At 39.6% G+C, this 14,168-nt stretch overlaps 1 protein-coding gene across 5 annotated transcripts in view; it reads left to right on the top strand.

Moving 5' to 3' along the window:
* The window catches only part of SLC2A2 (solute carrier family 2 member 2), a 30,374-nt gene continuing 18,035 nt past the window's right edge, over positions 1,830 to 14,168 (top strand). For 2 of the 5 annotated variants that reach the window (NM_001278659.2, NM_000340.2), the window contains exons 1-3: positions 1,830 to 1,894; positions 9,927 to 10,019; positions 13,819 to 14,081. Coding sequence is in view for 3 of the 5 variants with exons in the window: in NM_000340.2 (NP_000331.1) it covers positions 1,880 to 1,894; positions 9,927 to 10,019; positions 13,819 to 14,081 (371 nt within the window). In the remaining 2 variants the exon portion in view is untranslated. Of the gene's footprint in view, positions 1,895 to 9,926; positions 10,020 to 10,094; positions 10,144 to 13,818; positions 14,082 to 14,168 lie in introns of those variants that run through there. The other 3 variants (XM_011513087.3, NM_001278658.2, XM_047448761.1) reach the window with 3 other exon arrangements.

Genomic DNA, 14,168 nt, shown 5'->3' with positions numbered 1-14,168 from the left:
ACCACAGAGGCCTTGGCTGAACCTGAGGAAACTGATCAGGGTGCCCCGAAGGCCCGCTAGTGAATGGCGGGTCGCGCTCCCAATGGGAGAAGAGAATGGTTTCCTGCCGCCGTGCTCCGCGCCGGCAGGCCGGGGCTGAGCACAAGAAGTTAAAGGCTCACTGGCCGCCCGCGCACTCAAGGCAAATTCCGTTTCTGAAAAGGCAGGTTCAAAAGACAAAGGTTGGTAAACCACACCGGTATCATTTACGACGCGGCACAGAGACGCTTTCCTGCAGAATGTCATGTCACTGGCAAATGCCATGGAACCGCTCCTGACTGTGGACCGCTCTGGCAATGGGGCGTGCTCATCACCAGCCAAAACTGATGCGGAAAGTCAGCGTGGCTAACTGGGCGCTTTAAAGTCTGACTTCAAAGCTGCTCCCCAAAGCTTGGCACTATGACACAGAGCACCTCATGTTATGACTAAACGAGTTAATCCATGTCAAGTGCTGAGAGCAGCACCTGGCACCCGGCAAGACCTCAGTAAAGATTAACCATCATTACTATTAATATTTGCTCACGCTTTTCCACTATGAAATTATTGTATTGTGTCTGCATTACATATGTCTCATCTTATATGTTATAAACACCTAGAAAGAGGAGGCTGTGACTTATTTATCTCAGTCATCTCGGAGCATGGAACTGTGCTGGACTCAGTAAAAGTTTGTAGTTTGATTGAATTACCTTCTCAAACCAAACATTTCAGGTGTGTCACCTTGCAGAGGTGACAGAAATGAAAACAGGGTGGCAAAATAAAAAGGTGAAATCTGAATCTCCTCTAATCCTTCATTTTCTCACCCTGTTTCTTCATAACACCCCTCATTGTGTTGCTGCTTGTTACATTTTTGTTCCGCTGGGAACTGGTTCCATTTGAGCCTCAGTGCAATCTGTGGCCCCAGTTGCCACACACACTTAAAGCTCAATAAATTTGATATCTCCTGAACCCCCACAGGGTTTGGATATCATAAGGGATACTTAGGCCCAAGATCAAGCCATATGAGCAGGTTTATTTGAGAACTCTACGTTAAAGCCTCCAGCAAGTGCTTCTTGACATATATGAAGCAATAATAATAACAACCGCTATTTGCTAAGTACTTATTATATGTTGAGATATGCCAAACACTTTCACATATTATCTCATTTAATCCACTCAACAAAACAAAATGTGTGTTATTTCTATTTTATCAGGCAAAAATAAAAAACTAATCAGAGAAAAGTCACAGTGAGCCACTTGCTTAAGGTTATACTCCCCAGTAAAATGTTGAGATTCAAACCCAAGTCCCTAACAATCCAAAGCTCATCCAGGTAACCATTCAAGTCAACAATGGTCTCCGGCCACACAGCTCAGCTCTAAACAGAAACACCACAGCACTAATTATCTGTGGAGCAGAGTGCAGTGTGCCTCCCATGCTCCACAGCACAGCACGGCAGCTCAGCATATCTCATCTTCTACAAAAGACTCCAAAGATTTCTCTTTTCACCAGCTCCCAATTACTGCCACATAACACATGCCTTGAAATGTGATTGCCTCTGGTTTGTAACTTATGCCTAAGGGACCTGCTCCCATTTTCTTTCCTAGTGGAACAAAGGTATTGAAGCCACAGGTTGCTGAGGCAAAGCACTTATTGATTAGATTCCCATCAATATTCAGCTGCCGCTGAGAAGATTAGACTTGGACTCTCAGGTCTGGGTAGCCCAACTCCTCCCTCTCCTTGCTCCTCCTCCTGCAATGCATAACTAGGCCTAGGCAGAGCTGCGAATAAACAGGCAGGAGCTAGTCAGGTGCATGTGCCACACTCACACAAGACCTGGAATTGACAGGACTCCCAACTAGTACAATGACAGAAGATAAGGTAAAGCAGCATTATATTCATTTCAAGTCTGGTTTTCAGGAGATAGTTAGGGGAATACAGTCAAGTCATACAGAGGATTTGGGGGAGGTTGGGTGTAGCTACCACAGATCAAAATTAATTCTCTTTACTTTGCCAATTGAAGAACTGTTTCTTATTCAGTAATTGGGGTTTTAAGGATTTTTGCTCTGTTAACTGACTAGTCTGCATAAGTTTTTTCAAGTAATTGTGCATAACCATATTACTAAAGAAATATGTCCCCTCCTAACCAAAAAAAAAAAAAAAAAAAAGGGGGCAGATTGACCTAAATTTAATCATGAAAACTCATCGGGAATCTTCAAAAACGTCAATGCAGGAGAGACAAAAGAGGTAGAAGGGTTGTTCTCTAGATTAAAAGGGATTAAGACAAACTGACAACCAAATGCAACAAATGATTTAGATTGTGGAAGGAAGAAAAAAATAGCAATAAGGGAACTATGGAGACGTTGGGAAATTTTAAATATGGGCTGCATCTTAAATAATATTACTGTATCAATTTCACACTCTTGGATATAATAATGGTATCTAATTATGTAGGAGGATGTCTTTGTTCTTTGTACATGCTAAAGTATTTAGGGGTGAAATGACACAAATATCTACAGCTTATTTGTAAATGGTTCAGCCAAAACAACACACACACACAAACACTACAGAGCGAGAGATCAACAAATTGGTGAATGTTAACCAGTGGTGAATAAAGGCGAAGGTTATGGAATGATCACTTCACTACTGTTTCAACTTCTCTCTAGATATGATACTTTAAAAAAAAACTTAAAAATATAAAGGATATAGTGTCCTTGCTCCCTTATACGTGGTTTCTAAACTCACCCACCCCTGTACACACAATCATATAAGTTGATCAATCTGTGCCCTGTAGGGTCTCACCTTTAAGTTCTCATCTGGTGCAACTTACTCTGCTGAACATTCCTTCATGTCATTAGATGGCATGGTTAGCTGCACTGGCTTTGGAGTCAGCCAGACTTGGATCTGGGTTCTAGCAATGCCACTAAACTGCTGTGAGGCCTGGGTTAAGTTATTTAACTGAGCTTTGGGTTTTCTCTATTGTGAGAAAACAAAAACATATTAGGATACAATATACCCTTTATAGGCAAAGAAACTTGGGCTCAGTGATATAATATGGGATATTCAGGGATTATACTAGTACTTTAGAGTTAGGGAGTAATTAAATGAGATTATATTAGAGAGGCTTAGACAACAATTTTAATGTTAATAGTTATATAATTATTAATAGTGTTAAATACATATTTAAATAGTATTTATAAATTATAAAAGATAAATTATATTATAATGTATAAACACTTTAAATACATATTATATAAGCACCATTTATATGTTTGATATTTAAAGTTAAATATAAAATGCTATTTATATAGCATTTATATAGTATGTATTTAAAGAATAATTAGCACATCATGATTTCATGAGTATTATAGCCCAGGATAAAGCTAAAGTAGTTAGAACTTTAAGGTCAATATAAAGACAAACATTAAGTTAACAACTACATAGATGGTATGTAGATTTGGCAAAATTCATGAAGGTAGTAATCAAATAACTAAAGTTTGAAAGCTACTGCAAAAAGGAAGGTAATGTGCTTAACATAGTGTCTGGCACATCGCAGATGTTCAAGATTCATTCAAAACTATCATTAATTTTCTTAGGGGCTTTTGAAATTACGTTGTAGATCTTTTCTTGATAACCAAGGAACTGCCTAACAATGGAACCCAGAAAGAATGAGAACTGAGGTAGTGCAATGTTTTTCAGCTTTGTGAATCTATCCAGACTTTGAAAGAAGTAGGATAAGCAAGGAACTGGGGTCAAGAGACCTGAGTTGTCACACTGAATATGCCCAAAATGCTCACAGAAATCAGACAAATGACATAAACAACTTGGCCTGTGAGACCTCAGTTTCTACAACTGAAGAATGGAGGAATTAGACAAGAATCCATTGTTCTCTAAGGTCTCTTTCAACTTAAAAATTCTGTGACTTGATAAGCCCCTGGCTTTTTCCAAAGTTGCATGCAAGATCACCTTTGGTTTAGGTTTTGGAGACATGTAGTTTAAAGAAAAGGGTATAAGCTTCTCCTCCCTACCTAGTCAATCAGTAATTGCTGGAAAAATCTGCTCTTCAGGTTAGCAGTGGCGTTTAAGACCATCAGCTCTCGGTTCCCACACTAGAGTATCTGTCACCAGCTGTGTAGTGTTAGGTATGCTCCTTAATCCTCTCTGATCCCTGGCTTCCTCACCTCTAAAATAGGAATAATTTCATGTACTTTGTGGTATTGCAAAGAGTATCGGTAAAGTATGAAAAGTTGACACATGGCTGTTTGACAAAAGAAATGAATGAGATGATAAAGACATGATTAAAGATGCATTTGTTCTGTAGCCCTTTTACTGTTTATAGGAAGACCACATTATTTATCTTAGTTTTTACAGTAATCCTATGCATTAACTAGTTTTATACCCATTTTATAGGCAAAGAAACTTAGGCTCAGTGACGTTAGGAGCCTAGCTGGGACTCTTTTGGAGCTTTTCTGACTCCCACATCTATTTGTTTTTTTCTAATAGACCCTATATGACTTATGAGCCACAATATAAACACTACATTGTTTTATGTTGAAGTTCAGCCATTTGCTTATTCTACCCTTCCACATTTATCCAGCAGCATATTTTAAATTGGATATGAAATCTAGTTTCTCTAACTTAAAGTTATTAAGCTCCTAATGAAGGTAGCATTTTTTAAAGTGCAAGCTGAACACCTTATAGCCTATGAGGAAGTTAGGAGAAAAGGCTTGAAGATCTTCTGCACTTACTAGGTTATGTGGACTTTGGACAAGCTGTTTACTCTTTCCATGTGAGCTCCCCCATATGTGAAATGATAATAATAATTCCTACCTACTGGGTTGTTGAGAAAACAGGCAAACCATCTAGAACCTCAGAACTTGGACAGGTTAAGATCCTCTCTAATTTCTTGCTATTTTCAGTAGCACTTATGTACTTCTTCTTGTGTCAACTTCTTGGACATTAGAGTGGATGAATGAAGGTTGACGGGGCTTATTAAGACTTGGTCGTGTTCAGAAATTTCCCCTTAGAAACAAAACCTCCTTTGACCAAGTCTAGAGCCAAGCCACATACAAGGCTGACTATAAACATTACTTCTTTTCATTTCACAACATTGGAGAAAGAAAAGATGAAGGAGTGGGAGCCATTTTAACATGGAGTTCAGAGAGGGCAATTAAACCTGAAAATAAAAGATAAAGAAAAAGAAAGCAAAAGGAAATGCCATTAAACAGTTTCAGAGATTTTGATATTTGGGATAATCACTTTTGTTGGAAATTCTCAGAAATTCAAATGACCTGCTTAAAATGGATGAGATTGCTCCTTATCTGACCAACCTGGTAAAATTCTATCTTGAGGAGTTAAAATAAGGAACTGCAGGCCCTGGGGTGGCAGGACCACAGTCAACCCTCAAAAAGAAACCAGGAAGGCCAGAGGATAAGGACTTTAATAACACGCTAAGATTTCTAAATGTTTAAAAACTCTCCTATCTCCTTCATAGTTGCTATTTTTGTTATTCTAATAAAATGAGAAACTGATCTTAGAGGCAGCTCCAGAATTTCTATACTATAGAACAATTTGATTGGAAAGAAATAGGATGGGAGATCCAGCATCTTTAAAAATTAGCTTTCATTTTTGTCAAAGTAATGTGGGACTTTGTGACTTAGGCTGTGTATGTAAAGTGACAGGGGTGAACTAATGGAGACGACAGGGGAGTACATGTGCTGCAGCTATCGCTATCACCCCAACTTCAATTTCTGTGTCGCCCCTGCTCACCATTAGCATGGCTACTGATTGGACTCTTAAAATAAGGAGAAATAAATTATATGTTTGTATGGTAGAGGGACAGGGAGAGAACCCCCAGAGAACAGAAATCCAGGGATGAAGCAGGAGGTGACAGTCACTAATAAACCAAGTGCCACAGAAGAAAAGAAAATGCAGGGATGAGACTGGGAAAGTATATTGTGGTCTTGGGCTTGGTGGTGGGAAGACCCTGAGGTTCCTCTTCAGCTCAGCTACCGATGAGCAATTGAGTAGGCTTTGCCTTTTTGGACTTTTGTCCAGAGACCTCACCAAAAGTTTCTACTGGTAAGTGGGGGAAAAGGGATTTGTGTGGTAGGTGGTGGGAAAATGTGGTTGAGATTTCTGTGTGTTTGAAGCCAAACAGCTAAACACCCACAAGTGGTAAATTCTGTGGATATGTATGCTCTTAGCTTTTTTAATTTATAAAGATTATGGTCCTAGATTTTTCAGATGTGCTTCGCTTTTGAATGTCTGTATCTGACTAATGAGGGATGCAAAATAACCAAGAAGTTAAAAGCGTAAGATCTGGAACCAAGTCATTGTTCTTTAATTTACTAACTGTGAGATGTTAAACTAATCTAGTTATCTATAAAATGGGGACATTAATGGTGCTGCCATGAAGAATGTGGTAGACAGAATAATCGTCCTCCAAAGAAGTCCACAGCTGCATTGCCAGAACCTGGGAATATCTTGCCTTATGTGGCAAAAGACTTTACAGATGAGATTAAGGTAATAGACCTAGAGATGAGATTTTCCTGGATTACCCTGATGGGTCAAATCTAATCCTATGAATTCTCAAAAGGGAAGAACTTTCCCAGCTACTTGTCAGTGCCAGAGAGATGTAACATGAGAAGGACCTGACCTGCCCATTACTGGCTATAAAGAGGAAAGAAAGATACCAGTAGCCAAGGAAATTTGGTGGCATCTAGAGCTGGGAATGGCCCTTAATTTATAACCAGGGCAAAACGACAGACTTTAGACCTATAACCAAGAGGAACTGAATTCCATCATCAACCCAAATTTTCTCCAACAGCCTCCAGAAAGGAACACAGCCTACCAACAACCTGATTTTAGTCCAGTGATACTTATACCAGACTTCCCATCTATAGATGTTGTTGTAGAGATGGGGATCTCGCTATGCTGCCCAGGCTGGTCATGAACTCTTGGCCTCAATTAATCCTCCAGCCTCAGCCTCCCAAACGCTGGGACTATAGGCATGAGCTGCCATGCTTGGCTATACTTTAAGATAAATAAATTTGTGTTGTTTAAGCTGCTGCACTGGTGGTAATTTGTTACGGCAGCAATAGAAAACTAATTTAAGAAGTAAATGAGATAATCCACATAGTGAACAGGCATGCAGTAAGCATAAGTAGTATTAGGCTTTGAATCTGTTTGTGTTGCATCTCACATGAGATTGTCCTGGTTTCAGTGATGGAGAGTATGAGGGAAGTGGGTTAAAGCCCTCCCAGGGTACTCCTTATCCCATCACTTCTGACAATGGCTACCACCTGTAAAAAGGATGAAAATCCCTATCCTTGGAAATAGCTTGAGGGGAAAAAGGATTTGAGGAGAAACCACCAACTAAGTAAATAAAATTCCATCTTAGATTTGGCTATCTAAGCCACTGAGTTTTAGATGTCGAGTTACATTTTAGATTTTAAATTCAAAATCTTTCATACTCACATAGACCATATATCATATAGTGTGTGTATGCATTTTATGTATAATATATATAATTCACGTGTAATAAACATAAAATGTTAATATATCTTATATGTAAGATATAAATGATATATATAAGTGATAAATATCAGATGTAAATGATATATAAATATATAAAATAAATATATATATTTTGAGACAGGGTCTTGCTTTGTCACCCAGGCTGGAGTATGGTGGTGCAATCATAGCTCACTGCAGCAGCAACCTCCTGGGCTCAAGCAATCCTCCCACCTCAGCCTCCTGAGTAGCTGGGACTACAGGCATACACCACCATGCCCTGCTAATCTTTGTATTTTTTTGTAGAGACAAGGTCTTGCTATGCTACCCAGGCTGGTCTCGAACTCTTAGGCTCAAGCCATCTGCCCACCTCAGTCCCTCAAAGTGGTGGGATTACAGGTGTGAGCCACTATGCCTGGCCAATTTATATCTAATAAACATATTATGCAATATTATATATCACATATATATTATTCTTTTGGGCAATATATATGTATCATATAACCATGTCTTTTGGGTCAACTTTGAAGTCCTTTCTTTCAGAGAAAGAAGTGTTAGGAGGGAAAGTCTGACAGATACCCCCTATATTAGTGAAAGGGGTGGAAGCTTTGTAAACCTACAGATTCCCTATCCCCACCCCAGAGATTCTAATCCAGTAGAAGATCTGGGGCTGTCTCCAAGAAGCTACATGTGTAACAGGCTCTCCAAGTAGGGTCTGGTTTTAGAACCACTGGACTAAATAATTTCAAGGGCTCCCAGGATGGTTCTGTGACAATACTTTGTGAAATTTCTGATCTCTAGCTTTTCAGGGTAATGAAGGGTTCTGGCTAATTTGCTATTCTTTATACTGGGGCTTTACACCAGGGTAGGGAGATTTACTATCACCCCACAATTTAGAGAAAAACTGCTCCTATAAGGGAAGTGGCTTGGGTCACATACCTACTAAGAGAGTGAGAACTGGAATCCATGTTGATGTGACTCATTCATTTACACAACAAAGTTCCTACTATATCCCAAGCTTTTTAAAAATTTATGTAAATGTACATGAAATATCTTCCTTATGAAATGTCTAATCATATGAATACAAGAAAAAATTTCCTTCACTCTCCTTCTCCAACCTCACATTCCTCCTCAAGGACCATCAACTCATTTGTTCTTCAAGAAAACATTCTATAAATTATATACGTCATGCACAAATCAAATAACTGTTTGATTTTTTAAATCAAACAAACTCATGTTTAAGCCTTTAAAAACATTAGATTACATAACTTCCTTCGCCACTTAAAAATAAGTCAGTACACATGATCATATTATTCCTTTTAACTGCTGCATAGCATATTACATGTATCTGATGTATGTATTATGATGTATCTGAATCTATTTGACTATTTCCCATTGAACGATATTTGGGTTCTTTCTACAATTTTGCTATCACATGCACAAAAAAATGCTAAACTAAGTATCCGTATGCATGATGTGATTTCTCTAAGATAGTTAGACATGTAAATATGAGTTCAAGGGGATGAATGTTCTGCCCCTTTTCTACACAGTTTCATTGTAACTACATGGAGTTGGGGAGTTGGGGAGAAAATAATGGCCCTTATCCTACAACTCTAGGCTGAACTAGATGCAAATCCTGAAAAGTACCCTTCCCTGGATGTTGATGCGGAACATGATAAAGGCTAGCTAATGCCTCTTATATGAGTATTTTTGTCACCATGGCAACATCCAACAGAGCTCCCCATCTCTTTATTACTGGTATCTTATTTTACCGCTCCCAATGATATAATGGCTCTATCTTGGCGGCTCCCTTCCGTCAGCAGCTATTCTAGTTCTCAGTCCTGATTCTGAATATATATACATACGTATATATATATATATATATATATATACATACGTATATATATATATATATATATATATACACACACACACATATATATATACACACACACACACACACATATCAACAAATATATATATATAAAACAAAGTTTGGATTTTCTGCATGAGGACTATTTGGGTGGATTTTTTTAATCAAGTAATTTCAATCATTTTTCTCATATATTTTATGCATCCCTATTCTGGTATCCGGTGAATAGTCAGGAGAGGTATGCTATTCTCATACACATATATGGAAAAGAATGTTTGTTTCCTCCCCTGGAAGAAGCTGTCCCAAACTTCTTTGAGTTTTAGCAGCATAGGGGAAATGATGAATGGCTCACATTCTTGTATGAACAACACCTGCCAGCCTGGAGCACAGGGCATACTGCAAATCGATATTGAGGGGAAAGAACCAGCCTGTGGAGCCTGTAAGAAGTTTAAGCTGCAGCCTGACAGAAAGATGGGAAACTAAAATTGCCTGGTGTTTCCCTGCCCTGTGTCTCGCCCCCTGCAGGTCACTGGGACCCTGGTTTTCACTGTCATCACTGCTGTGCTGGGTTCCTTCCAGTTTGGATATGACATTGGTGTGATCAATGCACCTCAACAGGCAAGTGAAATATGTAGAAGTTCTCTTTTTGGCAAGTTCTGTCAGTGATAGATATCATATGTTCCTCATACACAGAGATAAAGGGTGTCCACGTGGGAGACACAAGGCCATCCTGGCCTGTCAGGTACGATGTGCACTGTTCCAAAGCTGATAACTTGGCCTTGACTCCCTAATTAACAATCACGGGGGAAAAAAAAGGAGGCAATAAATAATTCTTAATCTCTGACTCTGCTGTTTGCTGAGCTCACAGAAAACTCCAGGCAGAATATCATGTGCTGAAGGATACTTTAGAAAAAAAAAAGAAAAAAAGAGCTTATTGCAACATTCATTCAGAGATCTCAGCCATACATGAATGAAAAGTGCCAGGGAATAAGGATATGTTTCACTCAGGGGACATTTTTTGAGCACCTGCTTATTTGCATCAGGTACTTTAACATATGATCTCCCCAGCTGGATCCTCTCAACAACCTTATTATGCCCATTTCCAGTCTACATTAAAACCTTAAGAAGCCCTAAACTAAAAGAGATTATGGTCCTTCCCCCTCCATTCCTGTCTCCCATAGGTGACCCAAAGTAAAATAATGTAAAACTTTAGAATAATATTCAAGAAGCTCAACAAAGTTTGGATTTTCTCCACGATGACTCCTTGGGTGAATTTTTAATCAAGTTATTTCAACCATTTTTCTCATATATTTCGTGCATCCCTATTCTGGTATTCAGTGAATACATGGGAGAGGTATGTTATTCTCAGCTCCCACAGCCCATAAGTCGGGGAACCAGGACTTCATTCCCCTCTGCTCTAACTCAGACTGTGAGGTCATTGAGGGCAAGACTGATGAATTGTTCCTCTTCCTATCACTGGTGCCAAGCACAGTAGTTGGCATAAAGAAGGTACTCAATAAAGAGGGGTGAATTAATGAAAGACAGAGAAGAGGAACCTGGGGAAGAGGTGGCATAAAGTGAAGGTACAAACATTTTTTCGGTGCCTTCTGTAAGTCCATTATATTTCCTCTGCTTCTTTTAGAACATTGAGCCCCAAGGAAAATGAAAGATACTGCAGGGTGTGGATATGTGAAATATGCGCTGACCATAATCCATCACCTGAAAAGGGCTGCTTCCTGCTGAAAGACGTGCTCCGATTAGGTGCTACAATCATCAGGAGTGTGGCAGGCTGAGAGATCCAGGGCATAGTGCTGGGGGTCAAGAGACAAGGGTCATATCTTTTTTGTGTGGGTGATGACAACACATGCCAATTTAGCAGGTTTCCTGGAATTTAACATCATTTAACAATTTAACATTCAACATCACCATGACTTGATTAATAGAGCCCCTTCTCTTTTTGTGGAAGACCTTATCACATCATTAATTGAACCATCCCTGGCCGGGCGCAGTGGCTCACTCCTGTAATCCCAGCACTTTGGGAGGCTGAGGTTGGCGGATCACCTGAGGTCGGGAGTTCGAGACCAGCCTGACCAACATGGAGAAACCCTGTCTCTACTAAAAATACAAAATTAGCTGGGCGTGGTGGCACATGCCTGTAATCCCAGCTACTCGGGAGGCTGAGTCAAGAGAATCACTTGAACCCGGGAGGCAGAGGTTGCGATGAGCTGCAATCGCACATTGCACTTCAGCCTGGGCAACAAGAGCAAAACTCCATCTCAAAAAAAAAAAAAAAAAAGAAAAAATTAAACCATCCCCTCCAGTCTTAGACGGAAGCTTAGGCTAAGGTTTCACCTCCTTCAATCCAAGTCCCAGAGCCAGAGCTGAAAACAGCGATCCCCATACTGGCGTCCAGGTTAGTGCTCTCTCTCTATATAGGCCCTTCCTTTTGTATTTAAAGAGCTGCTGAAACACCATTACATAAGAATGATTTTTTAAGCCTTTTTTTAATCAGCTGAATGACATTTGGGATTATTTGGAAGGATTTTAAAATCACACTTTCATATGGTTATGAAAATTACACATGCCTACTGAAGACAGTATTAGAAAAAAAAATACCCATAATTATTTGCTGAGAACATTTTGGATATTTCCTTCAGCTTTTTTTTCTATGCATATTATTCATATAAGGCAGCCTTCTAGTGAGGCAAATGTTTTTGTTTTAGTTTTTTGAGACAAAGTCTCACTCTGTCATCCAGGCTGGAGATTTTCACTTCAACCTCTGCCTCCTGAGTTCAAGCAATTCTCTTGCCTCAGCCTCCCAAGTAGCTGAGATTACAGGCTCCAGCCACAATGCCTGGCTAATTTATTGTATCTTTAGTAGAGACAGGGTTTTGCCACGTTGGCCAGGCTGGTCTTGAACTCCTGACCTCAAGTGATCTGCCCACCTTGGCCTCCCAAAGTGCTAGATTACAGGCATGAGCTACGGCACCCAGTCTGAGACAAATGTCTTGATCAGACTTCTTTTATAAGAGGATGCTCAATTCTTCCCCTCCCTCAGCTGGCATTACCAAACAGGCCTTTGCCCATAACTAGTAACCCAGAGCAGCTGCATTCCAGGTCCTTTTCAGAGAGTACCCTCCCAGCTCACTGATGCTAAATAGTGACCAAATCATCATTGAGAGGAATGACATGGGAGGAAGATGGCCTCGTCTTCCTCCCATGTCCTATAATTCATCTGAATTATATGAAGCATATTACAAAATATGGCTCCATGAAATTTAGTTTCCAATGTTGTCCATTCTGTTACACAGTTAACTCTATGAGGACCCACAGGAGAAACTTCCTTTGGGTCTCAATACCTTCTCAAGGGCCACTAACTTATTGTTATCTTAGGAATTCATCAATAATATACCCGGTTGTTTTCCTCTCTGCCCTGGTGGCTAGGAAGTTTACTGGTAAATCTATAGCTCACTTCCAACAAAGATACACCATCTAGTGTTTGAATTCTGTATGCTAACTTGATTTTTGACCCTCATCTTAACTTTCCCAGTCTTTTTTCTTATATCCACTTTTATGATTCTGTTAAAATATGTATAAGTCAATTTAAATCCTGCTGTGCAGAAGTAACACTAGCATGAAAATGTATCTTTTTAGCCTGCAGAATATATATATTTTTTGAGACAAGGTCTTACTTTCTCACCCAGGCTGGAGTGCAGTGGCTCCATCTTGACTCACTGCAGCCTCAACCTCGCAGGCTCAAGCAATCCTCCCGCTTCAGCCCCCTCCAAGTAGCTGGGACTACAGGCATGTGCCACCATGCCTGGGTAATTTTTAGTATTCTTCGTAGAGACAGGGTTTCACCATGTTGCCCAGCCTAGTCTCAAACTCCTGAGCTCAAGCAGTCCGCCCACCTCGGCCTCCCAAAGTGCTGAGATTATAGGTGTGAGCCACCGCGCCTGGCCTAGCCTGCAGAATAGTTTCAATTTCAATAGTTGCCAATATTTAAAACTCGAAAAAATTTACATAAAAACTCAGATTTCTGACTTTCTGTTAAAAAGTTAAAGGTCATCCAACACCAGTTTCACGTTTGCAGCTTCCTCTTGCTCCTCTAGTTCCACAATCCTGACCATTCCCTATTAGTCCCAAATAGTAGAAAATGTATTTTAGTCCCCTAGTCATCAAAGTATTACATGTTCCCTTCATTTATTTGTTCCTGCCTGGTTCTTGTTGGCAATGTAATTTATAACCTTTCTTTTATAGGATATGGCCAACTGTAAACAAATCTATCCATGTTTATATGTATATAAAACACATAATTGAGATGGTACTATTTAAACACGTAACAAACACTTTAAAGACAAAAACAAAAATACATAGAATGTTTGAAATAGTAAAGCTATTTTTCTTTATCTCCTAGGTAATAATATCTCACTATAGACATGTTTTGGGTGTTCCACTGGATGACCGAAAAGCTATCAACAACTATGTTATCAACAGTACAGATGAACTGCCCACAATCTCATACTCAATGAACCCAAAACCAACCCCTTGGGCTGAGGAAGAGACTGTGGCAGCTGCTCAACTAATCACCATGCTCTGGTCCCTGTCTGTATCCAGCTTTGCAGTTGGTGGAATGACTGCATCATTCTTTGGTGGGTGGCTTGGGGACACACTTGGAAGGTAGGCAAATTTCATAAATAAGCATAAACAGAAACTTTCATATTTTCATTTTCCTAACACTTGTTTAGAAAAATATTATCTTTCTTC

This window comes from Homo sapiens, chromosome 3, assembly GCF_000001405.40.
Source record: "Homo sapiens chromosome 3, GRCh38.p14 Primary Assembly".
In the NCBI taxonomy this organism is placed as follows: domain Eukaryota; kingdom Metazoa; phylum Chordata; class Mammalia; order Primates; family Hominidae; genus Homo; species Homo sapiens.
This window is presented reverse-complemented; position numbering and strand designations above follow the sequence as displayed.